Source organism: Homo sapiens, chromosome 2 (assembly GCF_000001405.40).
Source record: "Homo sapiens chromosome 2, GRCh38.p14 Primary Assembly".
NCBI classification, from domain to species: domain Eukaryota; kingdom Metazoa; phylum Chordata; class Mammalia; order Primates; family Hominidae; genus Homo; species Homo sapiens.
Window position 1 is genome coordinate 110,729,342 of NC_000002.12, and position 14,241 is coordinate 110,743,582.

Genomic DNA, 14,241 nt, shown 5'->3' on the forward strand with positions numbered 1-14,241 from the left:
GAGAGGTGTGGCTTGTAAACAGATTCTTGAGGTATCTTCCAGGACAGGCTAGATTACGCTTGACACTTCTGGGTGTACATTTACAAGTCCGTGGGTGATCCAAACCGTGCTCTCATCCTCTGACGCAGAGACCAGTGATGCTTCAGATGGGGGTTGCTCAGATGGACAAGGCCCGGGAGTAAGATGGCTTACTGGGAATCCACAAAACCTATTTGTTACAGGTTTCAAGTGAGACTCTTGATTCTATTCTTGCCACAAGGGGCAAGGGAGTAGAGTCTGAGTTTCCTGAATTTTAATGGGCTTTTGTTACTAAATATTTCTCAGTTTCATCTTTTACTAATAGAAGTCGTGAAGCAGTTGCCTCTCCCAACCCTAAAAGTCCCTGAACTTGTGGACTCTATTCCCTTCCATCCCTGCTTGCAAACTGGTTAATTCTTTTGTAAGCCCATCTCTTTCTTATAATGTCTTGCCAAACACAAGCAAAAGCAGCCAACATGCAATACTAACCTTGTGTTTTCAGCAACTTCTCTTGGAGTGATAAGTTCCAAGTTAGGTCTGTCTCCTGTCAGTGGCAACTTTGTCAAATATTTGCCTCTTCATAAAAGGGACCATTTTCAATTTTGGTCAACAACAATGCTTTGGTCGACAGCATCCTCCTTGCCCCTCCCAGCCTCTAAGCCAATGTACCTATTTTAGTTTTTTATTTAATCAGCAACATTCTTTTAGTATCTTCTATGATTGGCTACGTAACAAATGACCCTCAAAAAAAATCTTAGTGGTTGGCCGGGTGCGGTGGCTCATGCCTGTAAACCCAGCACTTCGGGAGGTCGAGGTGGGTGGATCACAATCACCTGAGGTCAGGAGTTTGAGACCAGCCTGGCCAACATGGTGAAACCGTGTCTCCACTAAAAATACAAAAAATTGCCAGGCTTGGTGGCGGGCACCTGTAATCCCAGCTACTCAGGAGGCTGAGACAGGAGAATCGCTTGAACCCAGGAGGCAGAGGTTGCAGTGAGCCAAGATCATGCCATTGCACTCCAGCCTGGGCAACAAGAGCAAAACTCCACGTCAAGAAACAACAACAACAACAACAAAAATCTTAGTGGCTTCTAAGAACAGAGGCCTTTCTTTTTTCTCACTCAAGCAAACACTCACTTGGAAGTTAACTTAGTAACCTATCTTTTCAGTTTATAGGTCTCCGGATCAAGAGGAGCCACATCCTGACTTGATGCAAGGACCACTCTGTATCCCCCAGGGGCCTCAGACTTGATGTTGTGGAGGTGTGGGGCTTTGGCTGCTTCCCTGGAAGGATGGAGAGTATATTTTGCCTGTGGAAGGGAGAGTGTGACCAGAAGGGCAGATTGAATAGTCACTAGCTCTGCTTACAGATGATTTTGGGTGTTGACCTCCTGGGCATGTCCAGGGTGGTACCTCCCTTCCCCCATCGAGACAGGAGTGAGCTGCTTTGTCCAGTGGATTGTGAGTAGAAGTTATGTGTGTCTCTTCCAGCTGGAAGCTTTAAAAGCCAGTGTGGCCACACAATCATGGCTGTTCTGTCAGCCAGGACCTGGACCGAGGGGACATGGAACAGAACCCCCAGGTAGCATGAGTGAGAAATAAACTCTTGTCTTTTTAGGCCCTAAGATTTGAGGAAGTGTATGTGAAGTCGTTTCGGGGTTGTTTGTTACCACTACACTATTTTGGCTGATATAGAAGGAAATACTCCTCTTCTGCTTTGCACAGGGTGGTGCTTGGAGCTGCAGCATCCATCTTACAACTGGTAGAAGACAAGTTAAAAAAAAAAAGGTAACGATTACATATAGAGAAAGGATGGCGGATGGTGGAGCAGAAAGATGCAAAGGACCTGGGTCCCCAGGGTAGAGCCATCAAATTCACCCCTGGGGCTTTCCTACCACCAAGCTTCCTGTGATGTGAGAAAACAAAGCCCCTTTTATCATGGATGACTGGGTATTATTACTCGCAGCTGCACAGGTGTGGTAGACAGAGGAATGACTCGCCAAAGGTGCTCATGTTTTAATCCCTAGTACCGGAGAGTGTGTTTCTGATATGGCAAAATGGACATTGCTGGTGTGATTAAAGTATGGATCTTGTGGTGGGAAGATTATTCCCATTGACCATGGATTATTCCCATGGGTCCCATGTAAACAAGTCCAAGGGAGGCAAGAAGGTCAAAGTCAGTAGAAGATGGAACGATGAAAGCAGAGCTTGAAGTGATGCATTTTGAAGACAGACGAAGGGGCCAGGAGCTAAGAAATGCAGGCAGCCTCTAGGAGCTAGTAAAGACAAGGAAATGCATTTTTCCCTGGAGCTGTGAGAAGGAACCCAGCTCTGCCAACACCTTGATTTTAACCCTGTAAGTCCTATTTTGGACTTCTGACTTCCAGAAATGTAAGAGAATAAATTGGTGCTATCTTAAGCCACTCACTTTGTGGGAATTTGTTACTGGAAACGAATACAGATGGCATCCACTAACCTCACGACAGCAGACCACACCATCATCTCCCCAGCAAAGTAGCCTCTGGAAGGGAACGGCTAACATTTCCTTGAGTATTTAAAAGGAGAATCAACAAGGTATATGAGAATTAGGGAGCAGAAAGGAAGGAACATTTTCCACTTAGGTTATAACTCATTTTCCTCCAGCCACAACAAAAAAAGGAGTGTCCTGGGAAATGAGTATCGTGTTCCGGTCGATCACCTCGTCATGAATGCAGCTTCCAGCTACCCTGGACTGCAGTGCTGTAGACCTGGGACGCCTTTAGATTACCGTGATATTAGAGTTCACAGTAATGCCCAGTGCGGGGAAGAGGTGAGATACAGCTGAGGAGGGGCCAGAGCTGGAGCCAGGCTATCTTGGGTCGTGGGGGTCAGGCAAAGTGGCTGGCCGGGAGATCTGCTGAGTGGGTCAGCCGGTCAGTCCTGAGCAGCCGGGCCTCTGGTGCCCAGGTCCACGTGACTGGCACCCTTTCTAGGGGTCTAGTACTTGTTTCTTACGGCTCACAAATCTTGAGGGACAGTTGATAACTGGAGGGTAGAGTTTTCGCTTCCTCGGAAGGGCAAGGGGAGGCCACCGTAGAAGCGCCCGCTCGCGCCGGACCTCCCGCCCGGGAAGCCAGGGCAGGGCGGGGCCGGGGAGGGAGGGGAGAGGAAGGTGAGGAGGGAGGAGACGGGCCGGGAGGGGTGGAGAGGGAGAGGGCGTGCGCCTGGGGCCTCACCTGCTGGGAGCTGGAGGAGGCGCGGAGCGAAGCCGGCCCTGCCAGCCACGCGGAGAAGCAGAGGCAGGTGAGCGCGATGCAGCCGGCGCCGGGTCTGGGGCTCGGGGACTCCTCCCTGCACCGCTACCTGGACGGCGACTTCTGGAGCCTCAAGAACGAGCTGCGCGGACTCCTCGGCGGCGCCCGCTCTTCCGGCAAAGGTACCGCGCTGCGGCCGTCGCCCCTGCCCGCGCCCCCGAAGCCGCCGAGCGTGTCCCCTCGGTCCCCGGAGCGTCGCTGCGGACAACGCCCTGGCGAGGGCGAGGTGGGGTGTGCGCCGCGCCTGAGAGGCGGGTCCCTGCCTCGCCGCAGGTGACGGGCTCCCCTCCCCAGGTGTGTGGGCGCAGCCGGCCGCCGCCGACCTCTTCGGCCCCCTGAGAGGTGCCCTCTCCTCCCGAGCTCCCTCCCCCACGAAGAGTCGGGTGCAGGGCTGGGCCCCGCGGTGACAGGCGCGGTGTCTACGAAGACCGTGTGGCTGGAAGATCGGCCTTGCTGGTTTGTTGAACCTGTTTCTTGAGTCCCCGCCCCGCGATGTCCCACCCTTGGTGGGGAGAAGGGGACAGAAAACCGCGATGGGATGGGCGCACAGGGATGGAGTGGCCCTGTCCAGGGCGTGTCTGGGCGTCGGGGTGGGACAGGCTTACAGGACCCCCTCGGAGTGCAGGTGTGCGGAATGGGCAGCTTCAGCGGGGCGGTTTGGTTATAAGAAGAACTCAGGTCCTCGATGTCATCCGATGCCAGGACAGCCCTGAGAAGCAGGCAGAGGGTTGAGTGCTTGAGCTGCACTGGAGATAGAGAGATGGTTCAGTCACCGGACAGTCAGGACCAGAACTCGGCATTCGTGTCTCCTGTGGGCTCTCTTTCTCATACCCATTTCAAGCAGTCTGAAAAGCCCAGTTGGAGGCATGCTTTGGAGTTCTAGCTTAAGAAAGGCCCTATTAAAAATGTCAGTATGTGCCCGTGGAGGATTAATTGGTTAGCCATGCCCACTTAGCCCTCGTTTAATTTATTTTGCGGAAATGAGAGGGAAGGAGATGGCTTGAGTGAACGTCAGGCTGTCCTTGGAGAATCTGGGGTTCCTGCACTGAGGTTACCTAGTGGGGAGTTGGGGGCGTTTGAAAGTTGAAAAGTGAGAAGTGTGGGATGGTGGGTATATCCATCAGTGTCTCGCCGACTTCTCTTTCCCTCTCTCTCATACATAGTTCTTTAAGTTATGGTTCTCAAAGTGTGGTACAGGGAGCCCTGGGGGGACCCAAGAGCATTTCAGGCGGTTCATGAGTACAAACTGTTTTTATAGTAATACAAAAAAAGTTATTAGCTTTTTCACTCTCATTCTCTCACTAATGTACAGTGGCAGTTTCCAGAGACCACATGATGTGTAGTATTCCAGCAGAAAAAATATAGAAGCAGACATGAGAATACAGCTGCTTTCTATTAAGACAGACAGTAAAGGGATTTGTAAAAATATAGAACGATGCTACTCTTCTTGCTAACTTTTTTTGTTTTGGAAAATAGTTATTTTCATAAAATACACTAATAGATTTATTAGTTATTTTCAAATGAATTAATAAACATTTGAAAACTTTTCTGTTTTAATTTCTAATACGGGAAATATCAGTGGATATAACCCACCCAAATAAAAGCTCTTTGGGGACCTCATAATTTTTTTTTTTTGAGACGGAGTCTGACTCTGTTGTCCAGGCTGGAGTGCTGTGGTGTGATCTCAGCTCACTGCAACCTCCACCTCCTGGGTTCAAGCGATTCTCCTGTCTCAGCCTCCGGAGTAGCTGAGATTACAGGCACCCACCACCACGCCTGGCTAATTTTTTGTATTTTTAGTAGAGATGGGGTTTCACCGTGTTGGCCAGGCTGGTCTTGAACTTCTGACCTCAAGCGATCCGCCTGCCTCGGTCTCCCAAAGTGCTGGGACCTCATAATTCTTAACAGTGCAAAGAGTTCCTAAAATCAATGTTTGTGAACGGCTGCTTTAAGTCATACTGAGTTCAGTCGCATCTGATTAGACACACATCCCCTCCTATATTCCTCAGTCTTTTCAGTTTGTTCCTGGGCTATCACCTCTTTGTCTTTCAGTTTAGATAACTGCAGTTTAAAAGACGGAACAAAATTGTAATAACCAAACTACTGATTTGAGGCAAGCAGAAGGGACTTCCTTGTGAATTCCATAGGGACAGAGGAAAGGCATGCCTGGATAAGGGGTCCAGTGTGGCAGTTTATTTCCTGTGTGACCATTGTCCTGGATTTTTTTTTCCCCCTTATTGACTTACATTTGTTCATCTACAGAATGCAGATAATATCAATGCTGCTGTGTTATGAAGCTTGAATGAAAAACTGTTGCGTGGGCATGGAGTAAACACTGGTTGTGGTGGGATACCAAAACACACTTGCACGCAAAGGGAAAAGCAAAAATCCCATTACCCTGACAAACACTTTTCCATTCTTTCCAGTTCTTGTTTATTTACTTTATAGTTCAGAGTTGTAGTAATGGCATGAACAACATTTCATATTTTTTCCCCAAATGGTTAAAGATTCTGATATCTATCTATTTGAAAGTTCATATTGTACTATCAGATTTTACCTTAGCCCATGTTAGAAGATGGCGATCTTGATTTCTGGATGTTTTAACATTCTCCTAATGTAAAATGTTATAGAACATTAGGAGATGAGAAATAAAACTTCCTCCTCTCTGAGGCAATGCCAGATCTCCTGTGGCTTGTCCCCACCTTACCCCAAACAGGTCTTTGCAGTTAAAGTAGGTGTAGGGGAGAGGGTTGTGGCAGCGTAGTGGTGAGTGCTGTGTGTACATAGTGAGAAGTTTGTACAGGGCCAGGCAATCCCAGGGCATAAGAGCTCAGGAAACAGTTTTCCTCCAAAAGAGGTTGTGCAACTTCCTACACACACTGGGTGGCCACTCTCCTCAGAGGAGGAGTTCATTCCCAGGGTGCTGGCCATCGGCTCCCAGGGGCAATGTAGGCACAGCCCAGGTTCCTCTTCTAAGGAGTGACTTTCTCTCTCCCAAGGATGAGCCTGCTGGGCTAAGTCCTCAGACTCCGGGAGCATCCTGGCTGCTGTGCCCGCCCCTGTCCTATTGTGCATCTGACCAGGTGTGCTGTTTGTTGTGACAGCAGGAGCATTCTGGGTGACTGGCGGCTCCTCATTGGGATTTGCAGGGAATGTTAAAAAGCAACATCTGAAATGAGATAAGCTTTTGAGATTTTTCTGAGTTTGTTTATTGGTGAAGGGAAGCTCTCTCAGGAGAGGCTGGCTGGCAGAGGTAGGTACAGCACACACCTCTCACCCGGAGAACTGAGAAAGCCCCCCCATAGGATTCTGTTCTCTCAGGGCCTTCTCACACCCTTCTTCTCCCACTTGTAGCTCCTGGCTGCTTCCTTCTCCCTTTCTTTCTCTTTGTCCCCTTCTCTTTCCTTCCCTAGAGCAATGCACATTTCTCTTCCTAACCTTTTCATGTGTTTAGCTTTTCCCCATGAGTATTTCATGAACACGTTCTCACTAGGAAGAGTCAAATAATTTGGACAACTTGAAAGTTTCCTAAAATGTTTCCTCCTACAGCCATTTTTTTTTATTGTGGCAAAATACACACTATATAAAATTGACCATTTAACTGCTTCTGAATGTACAACTCAGTGGCATTAAGTGCGTTCACATTGTTGTGCAACCATCACCACTGTCCAGCTCCAAAACATTTCATCATCCCAAATGGAAACTCTGTACCTGTTAGACACTAACTCCCCACTCCCCTCTTCCCCCAGCCCCGGCAACCCTCATTCTACATTCTGTCTCTCAGCATCTGACTATTCCAGGTACCATATAAGTGGATTCATTTAGAATTTGTTCTTCTATGACTGGCTTACTTCACTCAGTATAATGTCCTGGAGGTTCATCCATGTTGTAGCATGTGTCAAAATTCCCTCCTTTTTGAAGGCTGAATAATATTCCATTGTATGTATAGACTACATTTTGATTACTCTTTTTTTTTTTTTTTTTTGAGACGGAGTCTCGCTCTGTGGCCCAGGCTGGAGTGCAGTGGTGCAATCTCGGCTCACTGCAAGCCCCGCCTCCCGGGCTCACGCCATTCTCCTGCCTCAGCTTCCTGAGTAGCTGGGACTACAGGCACCCACCACCACACCTGGCTAATTTTTTGTATTTTTTAGTAGAGACGGGGTTTCATCACGTTAGCCAGGATGGTCTCGATCTCCTGACCTCATGATCTGCCCGCCTCGGCCTCCCAAAGTGCTGGGATTACAGGCGTGAGTCACTGTGCCTGGCCTACATTTTGATCATTCTTGTATCTGTTGATAGACATTTGGCCCCCAGCCACTTTGTTGTGGTTGTTTTAGTGTGTTTGGTTGTGTTAGTGTGGTTTTTCCGCATTTTTCTATTTTTCTTGGAGTTCATATACACATGTGCACATCATTTTGTTATATAAATAGGATCTCACTGTGTGTTTTATTCTACAGCTTTCTCTTTTGAAATTGAATTCTTATTTTCATTGATGAAATGTATGAAAATATTTAATGAACTTATACTGTGAGGTTTGTAATGAAAAACAGCCATGCCCTCCCTCAACCCTCTTCATCCCTCATTTCTTTTCCTTGTGGGCCACTACTCTCAATTCTCTTACTTCATTCTCATGTAATTTACTCCATATTCCTAAGTAACATGTCTAAAGAGCCACCTCTTGGTTATCTACTGGCTTACTCTTATAGAAAACGAATGTTTCTCACTACAGCACCATTTTCCTTTTCCTATTCTCTGAAAGTCAGTGTATCACCATTTTTACTTAAATCAGTATCCAGTGTTCACATTGTTATTGCTATAAAAATACTGTTTCCAGCCATGCCCCACAGTGTACCATATTTTATTTCCTTCTGTCACAACCTTTTTATTTCTTCAGAGATAATTGTCTCCTTTATCCATTTGCTTAGTTTTCTATAAGCCCATCACTCACTGACCTCCACACTAGACAGATATGAAACAGAACAGATACAACAGATTTATCACAGGACAGAGCAGTTCCACTCGTCCCACTGTGATCAAACCTGTCAGGTAATTGGCAGTTCCACCCCTCCTGCCCCTCATGGACACATTCATTCTGGAGGCCTCCTTCCACAGCTTCAGTCCGGATGGGCTCTTCCTGCGTCTTCACCACCCCCTTGGGAATTTTCCTTGCATTTCCTCCATGGTCAAGTCACTGTTTTCCCAGGCTTTCTCTTTCTTGGTTACCCTTTGTAGAAGCTTAGAGAGGACCACAGATTCATTAAGGCTACTCCTGTTGAGAGGTGTGGTTTGTGTCGCCTCCCCTTGATCTTGGGTAGTTTTATGACTGCTTTGGTCAACAGAAGATAGCTGAGATGACAGTGTGACAGTTTCCAGGCTCAGGCCTGAAGAGACTGGGACCTTCCACTTCCCATCTCTTGAGGCCCTGAGCTTCCATTTAAAAAGTGCTGCTTGCCTGTGGCTGCCATTGCTATGAGGAAGTCCAAGCTGATGCCTGTTGAGAGGCTGCATAGAGAGAGGTAAAGAGATGCTAACATTCCCAACTGCTTCAGCAGACAGCTATTTCTGAGATGGGAACTCAGACACTGGAAAGCAGAGAAAAGCCATCCCTATTTGTTTCCTGTCCACATTCCATGGAATAATAACACACTGTTGTTTTAACTTTCCGAGTTTTGGGTGCAGTCTTACATAGCCATAGATAACCAAAACAGTCTCTTATCTAATAGCTTCCTAAGAGAGGGTACCTGGGAATTAACTTTTCGAGATTTTTAAAGATTTTCATGTCTGAAAATGTTTACTGTTCAATTGACTGAAAGTTTTTGTGGGTGTAGAGTTCTAGGCTGGAAATAAAATTTTCCTTAGATTTTTAAAGGTGCATGCCATAACTTTCCAATATCCAACATTGCAATGAACAAATCTGACCCTTTCTGCACCTTGATCTGTTATATATGACTTGTTTTTGTCCCTCCCTACTGGAAGCTTCTTTTTGGCATTGTTGTATTATAGAATTTCATGATGGGGTGGCTTGACATGGGTTCTTTTAGTGCATTGGGCATGCAGTGGGCCCTTTTAATATGGAAACTTGTGTTCAGTTATCTGTACTGTTCTGTCATCTGGAACTCCTTTTGCTCAGATGTTGTACCTCCTTGCCTTGTCTTCTAATATTTTTCCTTCCTTTTTTATTTTCCATCTCTTTGTCTTTTGGTTCTGTGTCCTGGTGAGATTTTCTCAACTTTTATCTTCCAACTCTTCTTGAGTTATTTTTAAATATCTGCTGTCATATTTTTAATTTTCAAAAGTTCTCTGTTCCTTTTTCAACAGCATCTGTTCTTGTTTTCTAGTTATAAAAATCTCTTATTTTTCAGAATAGTTGATAGTAAGTTTTGAAGTGTTCCCTTCTATTCTCTGCTTTGTCTCTGTTTTCTTTGAGTTCCTTTATTCCATTTGTATTTTTGACCTTTTTTATGTTTGAGGCTTTCATTAAATGTCAGGTCAGTCATGGATGTTTGTTCACAATATGGGAAATGTGAATAGAAGGCTGGTTGCAAATGGCGGGGTTTGTTGGGCCCGGGCTTTCTTGATCACAGAGTAACTTCCTTTGGCAGATCAGTATTGGTGTTTTGTTTAGGACAGGGTTAATTCCTCCAGTGATGAATCTTTTAGTCTCCTGAGAGGTGGATGGGTGGAGAATGAGGGGCAGATCCTAATCCTCCTTCCTGAGACCTTGGAGGCCCCAGGCTCTCCATGCACAACGTGAGGCTGGTTAGAAAACCATCCTCCTTTCTCAAGACTTGCATTTGTATACCTGATTTTGTTAGAACAAATCACTTGATGCCATCTTCTGGGAAATGGTCTAGGGTGTCCACAGCATGGAGGCCACCCCACATGATTGGCTGCACCCTGTGCATTGGTAAGTGGTGGCTCTCACTGAGGGGTCTCCTACTGGCTCCAGTGTTCCCCATGTGGGTCCCACAGTTAGCCTCCCATGCCACCCTCTCCTAACAGTAAACCCTCAGGCTTTGATGGACTTGGAGAGGGGACTTGAGGATGCAGCTGCTTTCAGAGGTGCATGGAGCCTCCACTTCCCAAGCATTTATACAACCCAGTGGCACCAGCTAGTTGGCTCCGTCAGCCCTGTAGACTTAGCATCCTCTGTTCTGCTAAGTGAGTTACCACTTGCCTGTTCACTGTCTAGGTGACAGTGTGTTGCTGCTATCCCTCGTGGAATGTCAGTTTCTCTTGAGTTCTTGGTTGGTCCACGTGGTTTTATGCCATAAATCATTTTATTATTGAATATCCCTGTTTAAATATGTTCTGATATCCAGAACTTGTAGACCTGTATTTATGTGTTAGTGTAGAAAGGATTGTCTCATTCTTTTAAAAGCTGCATCAGTAACAATTGTACCAAATTTAATTATGCCATGCCCCATCAAAGGACACTCAGGTCATGTTCAGTTTGTGTTATCTTAAACAATGCTGCAGGGAGTACCCTCGTATTCATAAGAAGAGATTTCTCTGGATTAGGTTCTAGAGGTGATGCCGATGGGACAGAGGTATCTGCATGGAAAACGCTGACCAATATTGCCAGATTATCTTCCAAAGGCTCCAGTTTTATTGCTCCCAAGACTATATCAGGCAATTTCAAATCCAGTTTAATTGTGGGCGTGTAGAGCCTAATCTAAATCCCAGTGTTCATCTCTTCATCATTTGAGATACTGTGTCAGGCCCTGGAGATGGGCCGGTGAGTGGTGAGGTGGGCCCTGGCTCCCAGGAGCTTCTGCAGCACATGAACCATGACTGACCTATGACACTGGCAGCCTGCAGCCCCACAGTCACTTTTGGCATTCTCTTCTCCCCATTAACATACATAAATATCCCAGACATCCTATTTTCTGCCATTCCCAGAATTTCAAGTCTCCAAAGGAGCACAAAAAGATTTTGGCAAATCATAGGTTTTTAATGTGTAAAATATGCCTTTGTATTTGTAAACTTGAATGTTAAGTTTTATGAGCATTTATTGGATGTAGGGTCCAGACCTCTAGATAGGCAGTTGAGAGAGCTAAGGATGCTCCATGATACAGCCTGGGACAGGATCCCTGTCAGCCATCATTTAGGGACCTGATAGTGGGGAATCCACTGGCCCTGTCCTTTGGAAGCTACAGTCTAATGTGGCCAGGTCCGGTGGGACACTGGGATGTCAGCGTGTTTGAATGTTGGGACATGGGGATTTTTCACAGTGACAACACTGTTAGGTTGTGGCTGACGTGGACAGTTGTCCTTGGTCCTGTCTAGGGGCCACAGAAATACAAGCTGTTCATGTTGGAGGGGATCTTGCCCTTTTTTGAAGGAGGAAACAAAGGCTTAAGGAGGAAGTGACTTACTCAAGTGTCATTCTCTTTTCTCTATTAAAATATGTAAATATCCCAGGCATTCCTGGGATGTGGAGTGGCTTGGAGTGGCAAAGCCAAGAATAGGACCTCTGGGCTTCCGATTCCTCAAGCAGTGATTTCCAGTGTGTTTATCTGGAGTATTATGGTGTTGCGTCAGCTTAATAGGGCTGCCGTAATAATGTACCCGGGCTAGGTGGCTTAAATAACAGAAATGTATTGTCTCAGAGTTCCGGAGGCTGAGAATCCAAGATCAAGGTGTCAGTGGGTGTCGGCAGGGTTGGTTGCTTCTGAGGGCTGCAAGGGAGAATCTGCTGCAGGCCTCTCTCCTTGGCTTGTTGGTGGCTGTCTTTTTTCCTGTCTTCACATGGTCTTCCCTCTGTACCTGTCTGTCTTCAAATTTTAGAAGGACACCAGTCAATATCTGAATTTTTAGGGGGAGCGGGGGACACTATTCAGCTTGTAACACACAGTGAGTGTGACAGAGTAAGAACAAGAAGTTACACGTGCACCCGCGTGTTTGTGTGTGTATAAAACAGAGTTTTATACATTTAAATAGAAACTCCCTACCTCTGACCTCAACTGGAAAGTCATTTCTTGAGAAGTGCTGGATCCCCAAGCCTAGCACAGTGGTTGTCATCGAGTAACATCTCAGAGAGCCTGTGCTGAGTAGATGGGCAGGTATGAAGAGGTAGGAAGTCAAAACCCTCAGGGCTGGGAGGGATCCTAAGGAATTTGGTTTAACCAATCTCTTATCTGTGGTTTCCTACCATGCTTTTGCACGCAAGCACTCAGAGAAAACACAAACTGGAGAATGGTGAGGGAGTTGGGGCAGGGGGTGGGCTGGTGGTTTTCCAAGTGTCTGCCTCCAGCGGTGAGAGAGGAGAGAGGCGGAGAGGTGATTGCACGTTTTCTTGCGAGTCTCACAAACCTGCAAGGGATAGAATTCTTCCAGTCCCTGTCAGACTCTGTGCCCCCTGACTGTGTTAAAATAGGGAGACATTTAGCACAGCTTTCAGTCCTGGAAGGAAACAGCACGGTGAGGAGAGGGTCCCAGGGATGGGGACAGCTATTGCTGTCTTGTCTTACACACATCCACCAGCTAAAATCGTGACAGTATGTGGATTTAAACACAAGTCATAGGAGAACAAAGCATGTTTTTGATATGGGTAATTTTGTAAAGGCTTTTTAAGTATTTGGAGACCATCTCCTCCCAGGTCCAGCATCAAGACAATTATTGTAGTGCTGCTCTGTACTCTGACATGTGACTTTATTAAGGGGCATTGTCAACCTCTTAGATCACTTTCCTCAACCTTAAATGAATAATTGTACACTAGAAAAAATATTGTTGACTATGTGTAAGGAAAATTTTCCTTCTTGTTCTTCTTTCCTTGGCAAGAAATTTTGGGGTGATATATTGTTATATTAATAACTTGCTTTCCTGGATGGGAGGAAAGTTTTGGTGTCCCTGACACCTTGGATCCTGATGCCATTGGGTGGCAGAGCTCCTGGGGCCCTTCGTCACCACACTTGTCTGAGTGCTGCAACCACTTCTACAACATGGGCCGTGAAAAGTGAAGGACAGAAGGTGGGTGAATTTGGGGAATTCTCTAGTTTTCTTTTCTATCACACCAAGGCTTGGGGCTTTCCTGAACTCTCAATAGTAATAGCATCCTAAAATTGTTTGAGTGCATACAAAGATAACTCAAAATGGATTAAAGACTTAACTTAAGACCTGAAACTGTAGATCTACTAGAAGAAAACACAGGAAAAAAGCTTCTTGACATTGGTTTGGGTAAAGATTTTTTGGATATGATCCCAAAAGCATAGGCGATAAAAACTAAAATAGATAAATGAGATTGCATCAAACTAGAAGAGGGGAGATTCACATAACATACAACTAACCATTTTAAAGTGTACAATTCAGTGGCATTTAGTGTGTTCTCAATGTTTTGGAAACATTGTTTCTATCTCATTTTCATCACCCCAGAAAAACACACTGTACCTATTAAAGAATCACTCCCTTTCACCCTTCACTTATTTCCCTGGCAACCACCATCTACTTTCTGTCTCCATGGAGTTGTGTATTCTGGACATTTCATATAAAAGGTTATAATAGGTGACCATTTGTATCTGGTGGCTTAGCATGCTTTTGAGTTTCATTCTAGCTGTGTACTTCCAAACCTATCAACTATGTAATACCAATACTTCAATTCTTTTTGTGGTTGAATAGTGCTGTGTTGTATGCATATATCAGGCAGATAATTTCCTATATTTAAAAACACAGGTGAAGTCTCTTACAGTTTGTTTTGTCCCAGGCCACATGGGAAAGTGGCAGTGGGGCTGAGCCTTTTGGCTACCCAGTCCCTACATTTTTTTCTAGAATATGTTCTCTTTTCTTAAACTTGCATAGTGACTGTTCTGATTTATTTTCCAAAAATTTACTAATTTTTCCAGTAACTAACATCATGAAATAAGGGTGCAAGGGTTTGGAAAAAAACAAACCCAAGTTCAGAGACTCAGGGAGGAGGGCCGGGTGGAGGTCA

At 45.8% G+C, this 14,241-nt stretch overlaps 1 protein-coding gene and 1 long non-coding RNA gene across 29 annotated transcripts in view; one reads left to right on the forward strand and one right to left on the reverse strand.

Moving 5' to 3' along the window:
• Nucleotides 1-2,019: 2,019 nt before the first annotated feature.
• On the reverse strand, nt 2,020-3,084 carry LOC124906064 (uncharacterized). Of its 3 annotated transcripts, none has more exons than XR_007087181.1 (3): nt 3,013-3,084; nt 2,495-2,563; nt 2,020-2,294 (listed from the first exon to the last, which is right to left on the reverse strand). It is a non-coding gene; the product is annotated as an uncharacterized LOC124906064 (long non-coding RNA). The 3 variants fall into 3 exon arrangements; XR_007087180.1 differs by lacking the exon at nt 3,013-3,084 and adding an exon at nt 2,717-2,983; XR_007087179.1 differs by lacking the exon at nt 3,013-3,084 and having other exon boundaries at nt 2,495-2,983.
• A 147-nt stretch (nt 3,085-3,231) lies between these two features.
• Nucleotides 3,232-14,241, forward strand: part of ACOXL (acyl-CoA oxidase like) — a 385,976-nt gene continuing 374,966 nt past the window's right edge. For 23 of the 26 annotated variants that reach the window (NM_001437600.1, XM_011511414.4, NM_001142807.4 and 20 more), the window contains exon 1: nt 3,232-3,433. The gene's annotated coding sequence lies outside the window, so the exon portion shown is untranslated. Of the gene's footprint in view, nt 3,434-3,595; nt 3,768-14,241 lie in introns of those variants that run through there. The other 3 variants (XM_011511432.4, XM_047444904.1, XM_011511405.4) reach the window with 2 other exon arrangements.